Below are 19927 nucleotides of genomic sequence, written 5' to 3'. Positions count from 1 at the left end.
GAAGGATACATTGCAAACTGTTTTGTATAGCATTAGGAGGGCTCCATGACCTGATGCACATTTTAACTAAGGCAGGTAAAGCACTTTATGCCGTACCCATTCTCTCTACTCTAGATTACCACATTGCTAGAGGTTTCCCTGACAGCTCAGTAGAAAGTCAAGCCCAGTATAATTCCTATTGGCTTTTATTTTTTATTTTTCAATCCTCAACCAGTGGAAGACCAATAGGCTTTTATTAGCAACAATGATGATGATGATGAAGTAAACTGCCTTACAACTGTATCTCATAGAGATTTTCTTATTGTAGTATATATGTGTTTTGCCTTCTTTCTTGACAAGTTCATTAATAACTGTAATCAACATGAGCTAATAGCACACGAAGGCCTAATGGATCATTTGTCTTAGAATTCCATGTAATATTTGGGAAAGAAATTACATAGAGTGAAATGCATATATTTTCTGACATTTAAGAAACCATTTGTTCAGTTCTGGGCTATGAGCCCTCAACCAGGAAAGGGAGAATGGGCCTTATTCCAAAACTTAGAGTGTTTCAAAAATTAGCTGGGTTTTGAAATATGTGTGTGTATTTAATTTTAGAAATGGATGTGATTAATTTTCTGGGAATTTATATAGAAAAAGAAAATAATAGATACCATGAACCAACACAGTAATAATTGGGAAACTGCCCAAATTGGCCATCTTGCTCCTATTCAAATCCTTTGAGCAACTTACTTCCTATTGAGAACAGATGACTATCTACCAAGTTATTGTAAGCTTGCCATCTGACAAAGCTGTTTTGAAGTAAAAGAGGTAAATATTTGAGCTTCAAATGCATTCCTTGTATACACAGTATGCAGAGCAGATATTGTCAGTAAATGTTAAAAAAATTTTTTGAGAAGCCACTAATAAGGTATAATGTGAGGGTGATACTTCTTTTCTTCATCAGATCATATATTATATTGATTTTCCTTAGTCATAAGAGCACCAAGGGGTATAATACTCTTGACAAGTATTTTGGCTGGGGTCAGGCTGAGAATACATCCCATCATGGCACTGTTGGGAGAGATAAGTATCCTGCAGGTGACACACTTCAGCTTGAGTGTAGCTTGGGACAGAAGAGTGGAGCTGTTTGATTAGTTGTGAGAAGGAGGTGCTCACGTCAGCTGCACTCAAGAGGCTGCATCTGTGGGTTTTGCATTTACCATGCCTCCATAATTAAAGCTTTTTACAATTGAAGTTGAAGTTAAGAATCTTGGCTGTCCCCAAAATGATTCAAAAGCATAAAAACATTGCATATACATATATATATGTATATAAAAAGCAAAGAGACTTCTAATTAGTAAGCCTGTTCATTGAGATAATCAACGGATCTGGATTCAAGTTGCAGAACTTTGTCCTACAAGCTGTATAATTTTGGAAAAGTCATTTAGTCTCTTAGAGCAGAGGTCAGTAAACTTTTTCTGTAAAGGGCCAGTTGATAAACACTTTCAGCTTTATAGGACATAGAGTCTCTGTTGCAACTACTCAACTATGCTGGTATAGTGTGAAAGCAGCAAGTAAACCAGGAATGGTAAAACAAACATTGTATGTTCTCACTCATAAGTGGGAGCTAAGTTATGAGAATGCAAAGCATAAGAATGACACAATGGACTTTGGGAACTCAGGGTGGAAGGGTAGGAAGGGGGTGAGGGATAAAAGACTACAAATTGGGTGCAGTATACACTGCTCAGGTGATGGGTGCACCAAAATCTCACAAGTCATCACTAAAGAACTTACTCCTGTAACCAGACACCACCTATTCTCCAATAACCTATGGAAATACACAATTTTTTTTTTTTTTTTTTAAAACATACTTTCTCAGTTTGACAGTGTGGCAGAAAGAGAAAACGTTCATTTAAGGCTTGACGTATTTTTGACTGAAAGTAATAACGTGATTTAAGTTTTAAAAGAAAATATTTTATCTTTTAAAAGTGCCCGGCCGGGCGCGGTGGCTCACGCCTGTAATCCCAGCACTTTGGGAGGCCGAGGCGGGCGGATCACGAGGTCAGGAGATCGAGACCGTCCTGGCTAACACAGTGAAACCCCGTCTCTACTAAAAATAGAAAAAATTAGCCGGGCGTGGTTGCAGGCGCCTGTAGTCCTAGCTACTCGAGAGGCTGAGGCAGGAGAATGGCCTGAACCCGGGAGGCGGAGCTTGCAGTGACCCGAGATCGCGCCACTGCACTCCAGCCTGGGGGACAGAGCGAGATTCCGTCTCAAAAAAATAAAAATAAAAAAGTGCCCAACTTTTCCCCTATTTAAAAATTGAGATAAAATTTACATAGAGTGAAATGCACATATCTTGAATGTGCAATTCAATGAATGTAGAGAAATATATATACCCAAATAAAATCAACCAAATCGGGATATTAATTATTCCCCTCTTCCCCAAAAGTGTTATTGTTCCCCCATACAGTCAATCTATATCCCCCATAGGCAAATGCTGTTCTGATTTTGATCATCATAGAATAGACTTACCAGTTTGGAAACTTCATATAAGTGGAATCTAAATATATAAATAAATCTATGATGTTGTATGTACTAGTAGTTTTTTATATTGCTGAATAATATACTATTGTATGACTATGCCACAATTTGCATATTTTGTAATTATAAAAAAATACCAGGCACATTAGTCTAGCTGAAGGGTAAGAAGCATGGAAACCTGTAATCAGGAAAAGGATTGTGAAGGATCTTAAATGCCAAATTGAGAAATCTACAGCTTGTACATGACATATTTTACAGTGATAGCTGCACATATGCTCCCTTCTGAAGGAACTTGACTGATGAACAGCTCTTGTTAGGGGAGCAAAAGATAGGGTGACTACATGACTTATTGACCTTACTAGCACACTATTTTGAGAGAAAGAAGGCTATAATAATAAGTATGTAGGGTCATGAGTTGTAAACTGGGGTTGTCCCTGGCAAATCAGGAGGTGGAGTTACCCCAGCAATAAGACAACATGACCCAGACTCCTGGCTACACCTGACTCCTGGCCATCCCAACTATAAGCTGGTCTGTGGTCTGTGTTGGATTCCAAAGGGAGAAATATCATACTCTTTCTTTGCTCTGTATTCTAACAAATTAAGAATAGATATAATGGAGATCAAGTTTTATTGCATAGGTTCAGTCATTCTCAAAGTACAGGCTTCCTGGTAAAGCTGGATTAGGGAACTTGGGTCTGAAACCAAAATGAAGCCTTCCAGAATATCAGCTCCTAAGAAAGGGGAGACCTAATAGACTCAGGTGTAGGCAGAAAAGTGGAACCAAAAAGTGGAGCTCTAGCTAGGTGGGTTGGTGTACCTGCTTCATGGAGAGTGGATATACAAGGTGAGTCTACCTCCCGAAGTGCTCCTGAGGGGAAGAAGGAGAAGAGAGGGAGAAAGAAAGAGGGGAGAGAGTGAGAGGAAAAGGGGGAGGGAAGAAGAGAATGAAGGGGGAGGGAAGAGAAAAGAGAAGAAAAGGCAGTTGTATGAGGGGGAAGGAGAAGGAAAGGGAATGAAAGAATCAGAGTGCTGGTGGTTTGGGGGACACAGCACCCTCTTATTAATCAGATAGCCCAAGGAAGCCAGGTCCTTTATAATCTCACCAATGAGATAAGACATTGGACCTCCCATGACAAGGGACATTTAAAGGATAGTAAAAAGCTGGAAATATTCACTCCTGTACTCTTCCACCTCAGAGCGACACACAGCAAACTATTCTAAAGCAACATAAGAAAAAATACAGGTTTTCTCCTAAAAGCTGGGTGAGAAATGATGAACAGGTGAGTCAGCTTGCTTTTCAGGGACTTTCAAATTGTGGGACTGAAACACTGTTCCAGGTGGTGGTGACCCCTGAACCTGGGAGGTCATGTAGAGGTGGTCCTGGCATTACATAGGCTCAAATTATGAATAAGCAAAGAGAACCAGTTTTTGGAGGGCAGGGGGATGAGGCGGCTGATGCATGGAGAGAAGCAGAGAAGCCAGGGAGAAAGAAGCATGGAAGAGACCAGCTGGGTCTCACAGCCGCTTTGACCTCGGTTTCTAATAGGCTTTGCTTGTGAAGTATTTTCTGGATTCTTTTGCACACATTTATGTTCAGACTTTATTAATTTCTACTGTAGGGCAAAGGGAAAACTTGCCCTTCACCCTCTGGAGGTTTCGTACTCTGGCAAGTTATTTAAGCTCTATGGAAGGTACTAGGAACACTGCCTGGCATGGTTAAGTTTAAGTGTTCAGTGAGATGTTAACTATTGCCACTGTTAGAATTTGCTAATCCATGAAGGAAAAACAAAGAGAATCCAGGACTAAATCTTAAATATTTCCTAAAAAGAGGTTGACAAGCAGACAGGGAGGCCCATGAGAAGTGGTAAGGACGAGGGCCAGGACCAGTGTAGGATGGAGCAGTGGATGAGCAGACACACTGCTATCTTGAGTCTGCGTGGTGGTAGGACATCCAAAAAGCTCATACTGAATGCCTTGTGTTAGAGAGGAGAAACTTTACCCTCGTGGGTTTTGTGTCTGCGGGCGTGTGAGTTAAACTGACAGGTTAGCAAGAGAAGAGACAAAATTTGATTTCAATACATACAGGAATTCACAGAAAAGTGTAACTCAAGGAGGCCTATAGACTTAAAGGCTTTTTAATAGCTGAAGGGGAGGGGCAGAAAGGATACCTATGGGGAAACAAATGGCTCTTAGGAATAGTAATGACCTTTAAATTGAGTTCTAGGGCTATTGCAATGTTATGAGCTGCTAAGAGAACAAGACTTGCCATGATTTTGCCTTTGTTCTTTGAAATTTTTTATGGTGAAAAAGCCAGTAGCAGGCAGAGAGTACCTGATCAAGAAGACAGGGAGATATGAGATGAAGTGTGAAATGTCCAATAGAAAGAGCCTTGCTGGGTAAGGTGGCACACACCTGTAGTTCCAGCCATTCTGGAGGCTGAGAGAGAGGACCATCTGAACCCAGGCATTCCGGGCTGTAGTACACTATGCCGATGGGATGTCTGCACTAAGTTCAGCATCAATATGGTGACCTCCCGGGACTGCCAGTTTGCCTAAGGAGGAGTGAACTGGCCCAGGTCAGACTGGCCCAGGTCAGAAATAGTGAGTCAAAACTCCCATGCTGATCAGCAGTGGGATCTAGTTAGTGAATAGCCACTGCACTTTGGCCTGGGCAACATAGCAAGATCCCATGCTCCCAAAAAATTTAAAAGAAAAGAAAGATCCTAGACCCCAGAAAGCAAATGCAATCCTAGCTAGGTGAAAAGCTCCAAATAAGCCAAACTCAGAAAGCAGTGTCATGAGGAACAAGGAAACTAATAAAGGAGCTAGCACAGCTTTCTCAAAAGAAGGAAGAAGATTCTAGAGCTTTCTTTTTCAAGAAAGCATTGTAAGTATTCATTTTAACTCTATAATCACTAGTTTTTTAATTCAAAGTTTATAGCATCTATACTAAGATATAATGCAAACAACTCATCTGAATTTTTCACTATCCTCTATAGATTCTGCCTTCTCAGCCAGTTAACTTCTCAGCCAGTTTCCTGATCTTTTGGCCATGGGAGCTATTTTTAGAAAGTAATCAAACTCAATACCCTGTCTCTTCTGCTGCACCTTGCAAAAGATCCATATCCTGACTGTTTTGCTTGTTGATTCCCCTAACCCATCTTGGGTTTTTCATGTGTTCGTGCTCCTCATGACACCTTTGTCCCTGAGTCTTCCCTTTCCTTTCTCCTCCTCCTGTTTCTCTCCACCATTATTTTCTGGCTCTGCCTACTACTCCCTATTCTCATGATGGCAGTTGTCCAAAAAAATCCTTTATGGTCTGCCACTTTATTTATAAATTTGACTGACTGCAAGCAAGCTAAACAAAGAATTAACTCTATGAGAGCTGAGGCCACAACTGTAAACAAAGGCAGCTGGGGGAGTAGGAGAAAGATATTAATGTGAATTTTTTATTAGGTTGAAGGCATCAAGTAAATTATACTTCAAATATCAAATTCATGCCTTGCAAAGGAGCTGACATAGGTAGAAGGCTGGGTGCAATATTTCTGCTACTGTCAACATCCTTGGACATTGAGAAAATCTATTAAGCTTAGTCCTTTTTCCCAACTCTGTTGACCTTGGACGAGAGGCTGTTTCTTATGGGCTGCAAGCTTCCTAATCCAGCGATCAGAAGTGGACTCTTGAGAAAAGTAACCAAACACGTTTGCAACATCAATGATCTCAGCATGAGCCTTTTCCCTTGGGTGAAACTTTCCAAGTGGTCCACATTTTTCTCATGGCTTTAGGAAACAAACAGACTCAATCATGTTTATTTCCTGGGTAATATTCCAGCATCATGGGAAATGGAAAGTAGGAAATGTATTATTTCACTCAACTTGGCCAAAACTTTCAGGACAGGAAAAAAAAAAGAAAGGATAAATTCTTCCCAAGACTTTTATTTTGGCAAGACAATTAAGTGATCTTACACTAATCTAATAGGTACTTTCAAATACTATATGTTGTTAGGCACATTCCATGAATAACTTATTCTATTTAAGAACTATTTCACCTAATTATTTAAAATTTCTTAGTACTTTGGGAAAAAATACGCTAGTAGTTATTATCTGGAAACCAGTTCTCTGTATTCTTCTCTTATTGTTATTTCTGATACTCCCTCAGGTGAATCTCTGCTGTAATATTAGTTTTAGATGGTGGGGGAATATACATTGAAAGATTAACTCATTCTTGCTTCAGAAAATTGGTCAATCTATTTTAGATAGCCAATCCCAATTCATTCAAACATAAGACCACTGGGAGAAACTCATGACACATGAGTTGATATCAGAACTTGGGTAATTGTACAAATAGAAAATTAAGTGGAAGATGAGTTGAAGAGTAAAGAGAGAAAAATGCAAGGATGACACGTGCAGATCATTTCAGTCAGTTTTTCATGTTTTTACAACTCAGTCTAAGTCAGAAACTCACTTTTATCAGGTTGACATTTTAAAATCTTTATTATTCCTTAGGAATGTTAATGGATTTTAGTTGTTAGATGCTGAAGGAATTCTTTCTACTTCATCTCATTAGTGTGAGAATTTTTGTCAGAGCGACATTTTCAGTTTTTCCAAAAAGACAGCTTTATCTTCTCTATATGATAGTACAAACATGGATGGAGTAATGCAAATCAGGTATGTATTGGGCATCAGCAGCCACTGTATTTTCCCACTTCCCGGCTGTATAGAGAGTAGAATAAATAAATACAAGCAGTCAAAAGCTGGCATATAAATCCACTCACTCATTTATTCATTCATTCTTCAATAAGTATAGTAGCTGAAACATTGTGGATTCTTCAGAAGCAGAATCACATGAGGGGCAGCTAGAGACTAGTGCTCTACCGTAGGAAGATATCTCACCCTTGCACACATCACACTATCCCATCCTGTTGAGCTTCACCTTGACACACAACCTTAGTTTCTCCCTTAGCAGTTATTGTTCTTCCAGTCATTTCATATTCAGAAAACCAGGCAGACTATAGTAACTTCCTTGGTTATACTTTTTTCAATGTTTTATTATACAAATTTCCTAATTTTATAGTAAACACCCATATACTGACCACCTAAATTCTTCTTGGTTGTAATTTAGCCCCATGTTTGAGGAATTATGAATCAAGTTCAGGTGTTTTCTCATATGGAAAATATAGGCCTTTCAAACAATGAAATGGTGTAGAATATCCAAAATCCTCACTCTTTAACCAACATACAGATTTACATTTTTGAGGCTTTTTAAAACCTGAAGTGATGAATATAATTGAGTCTACACATGTTTTAGATAACCTTATCTCATTGATAGAATTAAGGTATAAAAGGAAAACTCTTTCTACTTACACTTCTGACACCCACCAAATGTGTAGGTTTTCCACAGTGAAGAATTCTCCATTTCTCTTTGGACACCAACTGGCTGTCCTAGAATTTAACTTAATTTGGATACTGACTACCCCAAGTTTGTGCAGACCCCACAGGTTATTCGGGGCTCCCTCCCACAGACTCCTTCCCATTTCAGATGCCAATTACAAGTAGTGCACTCCTAGGTTACCTACACTCCTGACTGACTTGGCTATGAATTTTGGGTTCCCACAACCCCACATGTTCAATAACTTGATATAACAGCTCACAGAACTCAGGGAGACACTTTCTTTACATTTACCAGTCATAAACGATATTATAATTGATACAAATGAACACAGCCAGATGAATAGGTACATGGTATAAGGTATGGGGAAGGGACATGAAGCTTCTGTTCCCTCTCCAGGCATGCCATCCTCCCAGCACCTTGATGTGTTCACCAACGTGGAAACTGATCAAATCCTCTTGTTGAAGAGTTTTTATACAGCTTGATCTCCAGTGCTTTTCCTGGAGGTTGGTGGATAGGGCTGAAAATTCCAGCCCTCTGATCATTTGGTCTTTCTGGTGACCATTTCCATGTTGAGGCTAACTAGAGGCCTCACCCTGAGTCATCTCATTAGCATAAATTCACATGTGATCCAAAGGAACTTATTATGAATAACAAAAGACCCTCCTATCACTCAGGAGCTTCTAAAGGCTTTAGGGGCTTTGTGCTAGGAACCAGGGACAAAGACCAAATATAGTTCTTATTATACCACCTGGCACTTCAGAGAGAGAACTGGTTTTTCTCTTGAAATGATGTGACCTAAATGTCTTATTTATAAATTAAGAAGTCAGTGCTCAGACTTCACCTCCATAACCCAGCTCTACTTTCCTCCAGAATTCTCTCTTGTAGGGGAAGATTCACGACCAGAGAGATTGAGAGAAGAACCTGCCCTGTATGACTACAGGAAACCTGCCTGCGCCCCCTCCCTCTTAGCAGTGTTCAAAATAGATGAGTTTCTAAAGTAGGTCTTAGAAAGCAGAGATTCTGGCTTTTCTACTCTGTCTCACAGAAACCAACTCTATTAGTTTCCTATTGCCTATAATGAATTACCACAAACTTAGTGACTTAAGACAACACAAATTTATTATCTTACAGTTCTGAAGGTCGGAATTCTGAAATGGGTCTCATTTGGTTGAAAACCAAGGTGTTGGCAAGACTGCATTCCTTCTGCAGGTTTTAGGGGTAAATCCATTTCCTAACCTTTTCCAGCTTTTAGAGGCTACCCACTGTCCTTGGCTCATGGCCCTTTCCCACCTTCAAAGCCAGCAGCCTCAGGCTGAGTTTTCCTGCTGCCATCTCACTGGCTGTCACTCTTCTGCCCTCCCACAACTTCCCCTTTAAGAACCCTTGTGATTACATTGGGGCTACCTGGATAATCTATGATACTCTCCCCATTTTAAAGTCTCCATATTAACAACCATCATACCTCTCTTTGGGTGACCTAACATATTCATAGGTTCTGAGTATCTGGATGTGGCCATCTTCCCAGGAGCATTAATTCTGCTTACCACACCTACTATCATCATGTTTGTGTTCAGAATAATTTTTATTAATACAAAATTGGAATTTTCATTTTGGAACGTGTTTACTTTCCCTAGATCTTCTAATTCCACATGGCATGCTTCCTGGGAAATTTTACTGCTGTATTGGAGGAAAGAAACTGAAATGAGTACCTTGATTATCATTTAAGCACAGTATAATGATATACTGTGCCTTTTAGTAGAACTTTAGTATAATGATATACTTTGCCTTTTAGTAGAACTTAGAGATTTTAGACATCCCTGTGAGGCGATTTGGTGTTTTTCCTACATTTTTGTAAATGACAGAATTGCAATGTAAACATTTCCAGGGTGTGCTAGCTCTTTGAGGACATAAAACACTTAATTCAACTAGTTTCTATAAACTTCAGTGTGTTGAAATACTGTTGTTTATGATGTGCCATTTGTACTAAATTCAAAAGCAATGTTAAAAAGTTAGAGTTCTGGCTCTCTGCATTTCTGCATGTTTTTTTTCCTTCTCAGCATCCACTGTTGAGGCAAAATAATAAGGGATCCTTGAGCAAGGTAAATGTGACTCAAGCATCAGGCACTGATGTCTTAATACAGCAACCTCTTCAGACTGGGCCATTAGTACTAATGTCTTGGCAGGGAGCTCTAGGTCAGCACATTAAACCTCCAGGAGCTTTAAGAACTTTCAGGGATGAAAGAAGGTGTACATAAGAGAATAACAACATAAGAGAAACTCAAAATATGAGAAAAACATCTGGGTTAATTCAGGCCAAATCTGAAGACTTGGAGGTTTTGTGAAATATAATTCATGGTTATGATTGTTGGAAAACTTATTCTGTGCATTTAAAACTATATACTATGTTTTATACAGTTGAAATTATGTTAAATATTAGCTGTCTTCTCGTTGCTTAAGTCTGAAATAGACAAGTAAAGGGGCACCTTGGTAACAGGAAGAAGTGTTGTCTAAAGGCATCAGTTTGCCTTACTCTTGGCTGGTCTGACCCTCCAATTGCTGCGAAGCCCCTTTACCCTCCCCTGCAGTTTTGCCTTTGGTTTACCCTGGGTGGGAAGGGAAGGAGGGAGAAAGAGAATGAAGGGAGTCCCATGAGTAGGAAGTGAAAGAGGGAGAAAGGAAAGGGAGTTCTGTGGCCCAAGCATTTTAGCGCCAAGTCAGCCTTGCTATGCTGTTAGTCCAGTGCTGAAATGAGACCCTGCTTGGTAACACCAGCATGTCCTTTGCTAACAAGGTCCTTGCCTTAATATCCTGTACTCGAGACTTTGTCGCAGTTATCCTGCCCAGCACCATTCCTTTTAGACAACAGTCATGGCTTTCACTGATTTGTTCTAACCCAGCCCTTGCCCACCCCATCTCTCACTCTGCAGGGCACCAAGGACCTATTTCTGAAACTCTGCTGATGGCCAGGCCAATTGAACCCCTCTCCATAGCTGCCCTCCACCGACTCCCCTTGTCAGGACTCTCACATTACTACTGTGATTGTTTTTTTTAAGAAACATATAGAAAAGTAGAGAGAATGAATACTCTATTACATTGGTTCTTGAACTTTAGTGTGTACCATAATCACCTGGAAGGCTTGTTAAAACACAAGTTGTTGGGTTTTATCCCCAGAACTTCTGATTCAGTAGGTCTAGAGTGAGGCCTGAGATTTGCGTTTCTAACAAGTTTCCAGGTGATGCTGATGCTGCTGATCTGGGGACCACATCTTGAGGACCACCAGTTTATTACATATATATATGCACCCACTACCCAGATTTAATAAATCTTCATATTTTGCTGTATTTGCACTAGATCTTTTTGCTTTTGCAAGAAATGAAATGATATGACACAAATGATTGCCCTACTCTCCTTTTCCTATTTCTTCTTTTTTTCTGATGATAACCAGAGCCTTCTAGAACTATTCTCTCTGGATACAGTGCACCATCACTTGGCTGAATTTCCTGCCATTTGGAGTTGGATCTGAGTCCCTAGTTGCAGCTTGACTCCTTGATTTCCATCTTGCAGTATTTCACATTCTATCTCATCCTGCTACTTTTAATTTTTCTGTCCTTGCTAGGTCACAGGATGTAACAGAATATACATTAAACTTTCATTAAGAGTAGAATTAGATTTTACTGTGAGAAGGACTGTTCTTACTAAGCAGAAGGTGTTCACTCTATTAATTAAAGTGTAGGTGGAGAGAGCAAAAATCAGTAACAAGGCACCTATAGGAATCTCCCCCAATAGACTAAGTCAATAGAGCCCAGTCATAATAATTTAGAAGATTGAAAGCCCTAATACTTAAAGGCAGATCCATCCCAGGCTCTGGTAGTCTAGCTTCAAAGCCAGGATCAATAGGTAAAAGTGACACACTCCACTGAGGGAACCAAATATTCAAGCTTACTAATTAAGGGCTGAGCTGAGCCAGCACCATAAATATCAGGCTTTTAAATGGGTGAAACACGGAGCATTCCAATTTGGTTCTTCTGAAACTATAACTATTTGTCTAAGGGATAGTCTTGAATCATATAAAAGTAAAATTATCTAAATTACAAAGTAGTCATCACTGGCCAGAATTTTTCTTTCATTCTTTGATCACTTTTATCTTATTTATAGAATTAACATTAATCAATACATATCTAATTTGACTTGCATTGGCTCAGTTAATGCATGCCCCTTAAACATGCATGAAAATAACGCCTTTCTCTTGGTCCTCTTCTCATTGACCCCCATCCCTTTTCTCTTAAAATCTTTGCTGAACTTTCCTCTAAGCATTGCCCTCCCTCCTCTTTCTTCTTTCCCCTTTACAAAGGCAATTTTACTGGCCTCTCTTAGTTGGTGTGACCCCTGTCAGCTGCTATGGCTGAGCGAAAATTTCTATTTACAATTTCTTCTTTTTTTTCATTAGGAAACATTAACCTAGGTTGCATCAAACTCCCAACCCAGCTTAGCGTCTCTGGGTTGAGTAGCTGTTGAGTGGGGCTTCCCACATTTCCTTTGCCTTTACAAATTACTGGAAAATGAGGCAGTCTGTAATATAAACTGGATGGGCACTGTATTAGTCCATTCTCACACTGCTATAAAGAACTACCTGAGACTGGGTAACTTATAAAGAAAAGAGGTTTAATTGACTCACATTTTCTCAGGCTTAACAGGAAGCATGACTGGGAGGCCTCAGGGAAGTTACAATCATGGCAGAAGGTTAAGGGAAAGCATGCACATCTCTTCACAATGGTGGAGCAGGAGAAAGAGAGAGTGAAGGAGGAAGTGCCACACACTTTTAAACAACCAGATCTCGTGAGAACTCTGTCACAAGACAGCACTAGGGGAATGGCGCCAAACCATTAGAAACCACCCCCATGATCCAGTCCCTTCCCACCAAGCCCCACCTTCACCACGTGGGGATTACACTTACACATGAGATTTGGGTGGGGACATAGAGCCAAACCATAACAGACACTCAAGTGTCACAGGAATTTACTTAAGGGGAAAGTTAATTCTGATGGGGATATCTGACACTAAGACATTTTAATTCATGTAAAATCCAATACAAGCACCATGTGTACTTAGTTGTGCATGTTATTTACATGTAACTACTCTTATGAGATTAGCATAACATTTATGGTCCAGTATCTCTATCATAGTCATCTAACATTTCTATCATTATCACATCAGATAACAAGGAAAAGCATCTAGGCTGCCGATTAAACACCACCACCACCACCACCAAAAACTCAAAAAATCAATTTAAACACACACACATACACTCACATGATACCTCACAAGGACAAAAAAAAAATCCTTATAAGAATAACAACCTAGGCTGGGTGTGGTGGCTCACACCAGAAATCCCAGCACTTTGGGAGGCTGAGGCAGGTGGAGTGGATAACTTGAGTCAGGAGATCTAGACCAGCCTGGGCAACATGGCAAAACCCCATCTCTACAAAAGCAAAACAAAACAAAACAGAAAACAACCTAAAGAAGGTAGATTTTGTTATTTGCAATGGAATATTTTAGGTTCTTTCCTTATTCCATAACTGATGTTATCATTGTTTTTCCACAAAACATGGCATTTTGTCAATTAGTTAATTTAAGGAATTGAAATTCCTTAAATTAACTTTTTCTCGGTGGCCTCATTAGCTCTAGGGGTCCCTTTGGGCTCTTGATACTCCCTGAAGAAAGGATCCATTACTCTCCTGCTCTTCCTGTACCCACATCTGGGGGAAGCTGAGGAGGGAGGAACAGTCAGCCACAGCTCTACTCCAGGACCTGTCCTCTCTGCCCCAATCTTTGAGGAAGAGCATCCCCTTCTTCCTTTCCCTGGCCACCCCTAACATCCTCTCTGGGCCTGGGACCCTCTCCATAGAGGGGATGTGGCCCGTGGTCATGACATAACCTGGCAGCAGTAGGAAAAACTCTCTTCTGTGAAGAAGAAGCAGACTGGGCCATAAAGAAACAGTGGGACTGGCTCAAGTGCCCAAGGTTTGCTTAGGGTCTGGGAATTGGCTATGTGTTATTTAATTTATTGAGAGGAGTGGAGTAGGTGGCTTTTATTTCCCCTCCCTCTTCCACCAACAAGAATAAAGTTTATTAAATTTAAAAATTTCTTTGCCTTCTTCTTTTTCTGGAAGAAATATCTGAAGACTGGTGGCAGCCAGATTGACTGGACCTTTAGGGATGGGGACAGGAAGGATGGGCGATGAGTCTGCCCAGACACAGTGGGGCCAGACCACAGAAGTCTGAGCAAGTGAGACTTTTCTTCCTGGAAAGAAAAAGAAGAAGGTAAAGAAAGGAACTTTTTACTTAATTAGGGATGTAGAGCTTCCTAAAAGTGATGAGAATATTTTGGACTAGTTTTAAGAGAGAAATGCTTGAAATTCACAGTTTTTAGAACAACTGTCATATGTGAGCGCTTTCTCCTCTTTTTTTTTTTTTTTTTTTTTTAAATACCTTTTATCATCCCCCTCTATGGAAGGAGCAGCACTGGGCAACAGGACCCCAGGGAGAAGACCCCTCCTCGTCCTCAAGGACAGAGGCCAGAGCCGGAGAATAGAGGGGTGAGGAACATTCTAGGAGAAGCTTCTACAAATGAGCTGATGGCTTTAGACGTTTCCTTCTTAGCCTTACAATTTTTCTCCTTGATTATAAAAGTAAAGGAAAACTTGTAAAATACAGAAAGGAAAAGAGGGGGAAAAAAGTCACTTATAACCACACCAATCCAGAGGGATTTCAAGGATTTGGATTTGGAGATGGTGGCTTCCAGATGTCTTTTGGAATTGGGGCATTTCCCTTTGGGATATTTGCCACAGCATTTAATATAAATGATGGGCGGCCTCCTCCAGCTGTCCCTGGGACACCCCAGTATGTGGACGAGCAGTTCCTGTCACGCCTCTTCCTATTTGTGGCCCTGGTGATCATGTTCTGGCTCCTGATTGCCTAATGCTGGGCTCCTGCCTACATCCGTGGCAGGGCTCTGGACTGGTGACATGCCACCCCAACTCCTGGTGTTTGGCTTCCTGGCTAATCTTGACTCCTGGAATCAGTGGGATCAGTAACACATCAAGGAGTCTTGTTTCTTCATCAGAGCTTTGGAACTCGAGACCAGTTGGCGATGACCCCTGAGTATCGCCACTGCTGTAAACACCCTATAACCTCAGGCCTTGGCATTGAGTCCTCTCTTATGGGTGACACCATGAAATCTTGTTTCAGCCAGTTCTGCAGGTCCTGACTCTGCAGAGGGAAGAGGCAGAAAGAGAGAAACTGTCAGAGTATAATTTCACCTGAGTTTAATATTACAGAAACAAAGGGATGCACCAAATGGTATTTCTGGAAATTTTCATGTCTTTAAATACCCCTTGGTAAGTTGCCTCTGAAGCCAGTGGGGGCTCCTCAGATAGAGATGTTCCCCTTTCAAATCCCAGTGCCGCTCTGTTCTCTTTCCTTCCCCTCCCACTCCCCCTCTTCTTCCTCTGTAGAGATGCAAGAAATTGCTGTCCCATAAAAATCATAATTGCAGTAGCTAAAGCTGGGGTCACTTCGTAAATTCATCAGAGACTCAAAGATCTTTTATTGGCTCTGGGCTGTGCTCAGTGTCTTTGGCCTCAGAGAACAACTTGAATGACTTCCTGGTTTCCTGGCATAAATTATTCCTGGTGAGACATGTGGCTTAACTCACAGATTTCCCATCAGCTTTCTCCCTAAAACTATGTGCATCTGCCTCTCTCTGCCTGAGAACATACAGCCGAGAATACTGCTGAAGCTGAGACTGACTACTGTGCATTAGGAAAGACCTGGAGTCAGGACTTTGGTGGGATTTGGAGCTCCGAGGCAGTAATAACTGAACAAGCAGCCCTGTCCCCTAGGCTGCAGAAGCTTGAATGCATCCTCTCCCAGAACCTGCCACAGGAAACTGGGGGCTTTGTCAGGTCAGCCCAACTGCATGCAGAAGACCACCATCCTCAGAAGCCAAGTTGTCTTTTATGAAGAGGCAAGGAAAGGGGAAACCCACATGTGACCCTGATTTTGGTATGGCTTGATAGAGTTCCCTGAAAACTCCTTTTATGTGTGCTAAAACCAGGGAAGCATGTGACTGCCAAGCAGGCAACCCCTGATGATTTGTAAAGCCAGGTGGCAGGGCCTGGGGAGCCCCAGCACAATGATATTGTGTGGTCTTCCCTCCTGTGGAATCGAGGGGAAATTATTCTTCCCAATACCTTGATTTGATTTTCAGTTTCACAAGCTTCTTCCTCTGAATCTTATTGAGGGAGTATGGTACCAAGCAGGTAGGACTGTTCACCTGGTGGAACAGTTCTTGCTCTGCCTTCTAGGCTTCATCCCACAAATCCAGCCTCTTTCTGGAGACCGCAAAGCTGGGGGGAGATGGGCTTCCTCTGGGCCTCTTTCTTACTTTGCCATCCACACTGCTCCTGGCTAACCCCAGCAATAACCAACAAATGGTAGGAAGCCCCACCTATTGCTTTTTCTCAATTATGACTGCATAGTTTGTGGAAACAAAGATCTTGAGGAAGATGAGGGAAGCCCTCCCCTCTTCATAGTCCCCATCTCTTCTCCTTTGTACCTGTCAACACCAGAGTTCAGTGTTTAAACAGACAGAATATAAAGTATTGAGTAGGTGGTTCATATGCCGAATCCACTTGGTAGGAAGAAACCACCAGCTTTATAGTGTGCCTGATAGATTTTAAACATTCCTGGGCACCCACTCAAGAGTGTTCTTTTTATCACCTTCTGGAAATCCCCAAAGTTGCAGGGGCCTCTGGAGTGTCTCTGCTCTAGAGAGAATTGGTGGGACCCCCCTCAGTGCAGTGGCCCCAACTAGTGGAGGGAGAGAGGACTTAAGTCAGATGGACTCAACAGAAATGGGTTTCCAGAAGAATAATGAAAAGTTGTGGGTAGGAAAATGAATCATTTGGACTCTTCAATGAAATGGAGTGAACCCAGGAGAGCTCAACCAACAGAGGCACTCTGGGAACCTGTTAGTAAAGCCAGGCCAAATGCCATTTGATTTTGAACCTTGTAGGTCCCCACTCACCCTCTGCCAGGAGCTAAGTAAGTCAGGAGAGCTGACTTGGGACTCCTGGCTTGGCCCCAACAGGGAGCCCCCTTCCCACCATCCCTCGGCAAGCTCACCACCTCATCCTTCTGCCAAGGCAGCTTTCCTTTCTTTTGTGTGTTTTCTGTGTTCTTAGCCTCCACCCTCCTCCTGCCACCCTTGTGGACTAAGACCAGGTCCTGACCCCAGTCAGAAAATGATGATATGTACAGTGGCACACCTTAACCAGTCACTAATTTTCACTGTTGTGAAAGTGATTTGATTTAGAATTAAACAAATGGTTTTACATTAAAAAAAAAAAGACCTTTTAAAATCTAAGGTCTGAGCCATACATAGAGTTAGGAATTCCAAACTTGAGATGAAAGGAATGCTGATTTATCTTATGATGGCATTATTTTCCCCTACATCAAATCAGGTTATTAATATCAGTGTTTTTTCCAATGTGATGATTTTACCAAGTGACCATCCATCCTGAGGGAGTTATCGTAAATGAAACATAAACATAAATGACCACAGTAACACAGAGATCTATAAAACTTCCAACGCTGGGGAAATGCAAAATGTTCCAGGGATTGTATGTGTTTTGGTGTAGGGATCCTCAGCTGCAGGCCAATGGAATTTAATATATGTACTGCCATGCAGAATTAGGCATATATTAGTACAATCAATAAATCCAATCACTTTGCCTACAGGACAGATTTGAAATTCTATCTCCAGTTTTGCCACTATTTACTAATGAAATATGGCTTCCTTGCCCTCACTACAAAGGTCTCCATCTTTCTTTCTTGTTTGTTTGTTTGTTTTTGTTTTTGTTTGTTTGTTTTTACTTCCTAGAGTGAAATAAGAGTACTTTCTCTAATTTTAATCGAATGTTTCTCAAAGTTTGAGGAATATATTCATACTTTTAATCATGGTTTTTAAAGGGGTAAATTTCCAATTCAGTTCATCATTGGCACTAAATCATTTATTCTTCTCTCTATCAGGAAGCCTCATATTGTTTTGCCTCTCTTCATCCCTTCCCAACTGTCTCCTTTTGTCCTCCTCACTCTCAATTCCTAATTTTAACTAATTTACAAATACATATGATTCTCACTTGTTGGATATATTAAAAATGTATAGCCTAAAATAACATGTTTTGTGCTTTTGGTTTTCTTAAATTGTTGCTGATTTTCTGTACTATAAACAAAAACACACTTCATCAAAGTCAGTATCTGGAATTAACCAGCACACATGACAGCATAACACTGGTCTTGTTGGATACCCAACAAGAAGAGTGAATATGCATGTCAAACTGGAAACTTGTGAACATTAATTAGGCGTATTCTTAATCTTTTCCCTGCTTCTTAATCAGAACTTTATGTTATCCAAGACTGATAGGAAACCATTCTGTCTTATTTTCTAAAAGGATCAATGGAATAACCACTCCCTTGTTTATAGCTCGCTAAGCTGTACTAAGATACTGTGAGGGATATGTTAAGGATACCAGAGATGATCAATGAATGTGTACACATAATGAAGCCACAAGGCAGGATATAAGTGCTAGATAAATAATAAAATAAATTGACACTTTGGCAATCTGCCACCAGATTAATCTTAAGTACCACTTTGATTGTGTCATTGGCCTTTGCCAAACCCCCATGGCTTTTTGTTGCTACGAACTCAAGTCTCACTTGCTCAGATTTCTGTGGTCTGGCCCCACTTTGCCTGGAGTTATCTAGGCATTACTAGGTGCTATGGTTTAAATGTTTGTCTCCTCTGAAACTCATATTGAAACTTAACACCCAATGCAGCAGTATTGAAAGGTGGGACCTTTAAGAGATTATTAGTTCATGAGGGCTCTACATGCATAAATGGGTTAATCCATTCATGGATTAAGGGGTTAATGGATTTATGGGTTATCACGTGACTTTAGGCATGGGGACAGGGAGGGTGGGCGATGAGTCTGCCCAGACACAGTGGGGCCAGACCACAGAAATCTGAGCAAGTGAGACTTGAGTTGGTAGCAACAAAAAGCCATGGGGGTTTGGCAAAGGCCAATGACACAATCAAAGTGGTACTTAAGATTAATTTGGTGGCAGATTGTTCTCAGGACCTCATTCTGGGATTTAATAACAAGCAATAAATTCTGTTAGAATTAACCTATCTTTTTCCTCACATCCGGTACTTATTGGAGGTGATGAACAGTTGCTTAATACCTTCTGAATAATAACCCCTTCCCAGGCTTAAAGAGGAAGTCTCATTTAAAATCAGAGAATTTTAATTGGGGTGTAAAGCTGCCTTTGGCACAATTTGGCCAACTCCTCTGGAGATGAAATGAATACTTGCCCATTAAGTTAGTAGGGCCTCAGATCTTCCAATGCCTAACCATTTATTCTTTTTCTTGTTTTGTGACTCCTTGGCTCAACCTCCTCTTTCTCTCAGAGCCTTTCACAGATCAATTTTCTCCCCTATGTCTGTAAATCAATAGACTTGGATTCTAGCTGGAGGCTTCTTGAATTCTCCAAGTAGGAGAGCCACACGATCTCTAAGATTCCTGACAAGATCCTACAGGTGCCTGCCCTTTCTGTCTGTCTTCTGGGAAATCTTTCTTGTGGATTAAACCTTAACTATTTCTGAAGACTTTCTCCAAATTAGCCCAGTTAAATCTCATTTTTCCTGCACTTTGTGTCCCCTCAGTTCTTAATAATGAAAGTGTAATGCTTCATTTTTCAGGTTTTTTTGAAGGAATAATCTATTCTACAGAAAGGAAAATTTTAAAGGCTTAAGTTTATTTCTTAATTGTTAATCGTTAGTCACCTATTTTTAAAGGTAAATTTTCTGTAATGATATGTCACCTATTTGTTCTACGTTTTATAACCAAGTCTATTGAATATATTTTTTTCTTGATGCTCAAACTGTCCAA

General features: G+C 40.7%; 1 long non-coding RNA gene and 1 pseudogene across 1 annotated transcript; both read left to right on the top strand.

Annotated features, from left to right (window-relative positions):
- Positions 4918 to 5221, top strand: RN7SL335P (RNA, 7SL, cytoplasmic 335, pseudogene; annotated as a pseudogene).
- Positions 14412 to 17326, top strand: LOC112268469 (uncharacterized). The gene is made up of 2 exons (XR_002959800.2): positions 14412 to 14512; positions 14680 to 17326. It is a non-coding gene; the product is annotated as an uncharacterized LOC112268469 (long non-coding RNA).
- Positions 17327 to 19927: the final 2601 nt, after the last annotated feature.

Source organism: Homo sapiens, chromosome 4 (assembly GCF_000001405.40).
Source record: "Homo sapiens chromosome 4, GRCh38.p14 Primary Assembly".
In the NCBI taxonomy this organism is placed as follows: domain Eukaryota; kingdom Metazoa; phylum Chordata; class Mammalia; order Primates; family Hominidae; genus Homo; species Homo sapiens.
Note: the sequence above shows the minus strand (reverse complement) of the source record. Positions and strands in the feature narration are given on the sequence as shown.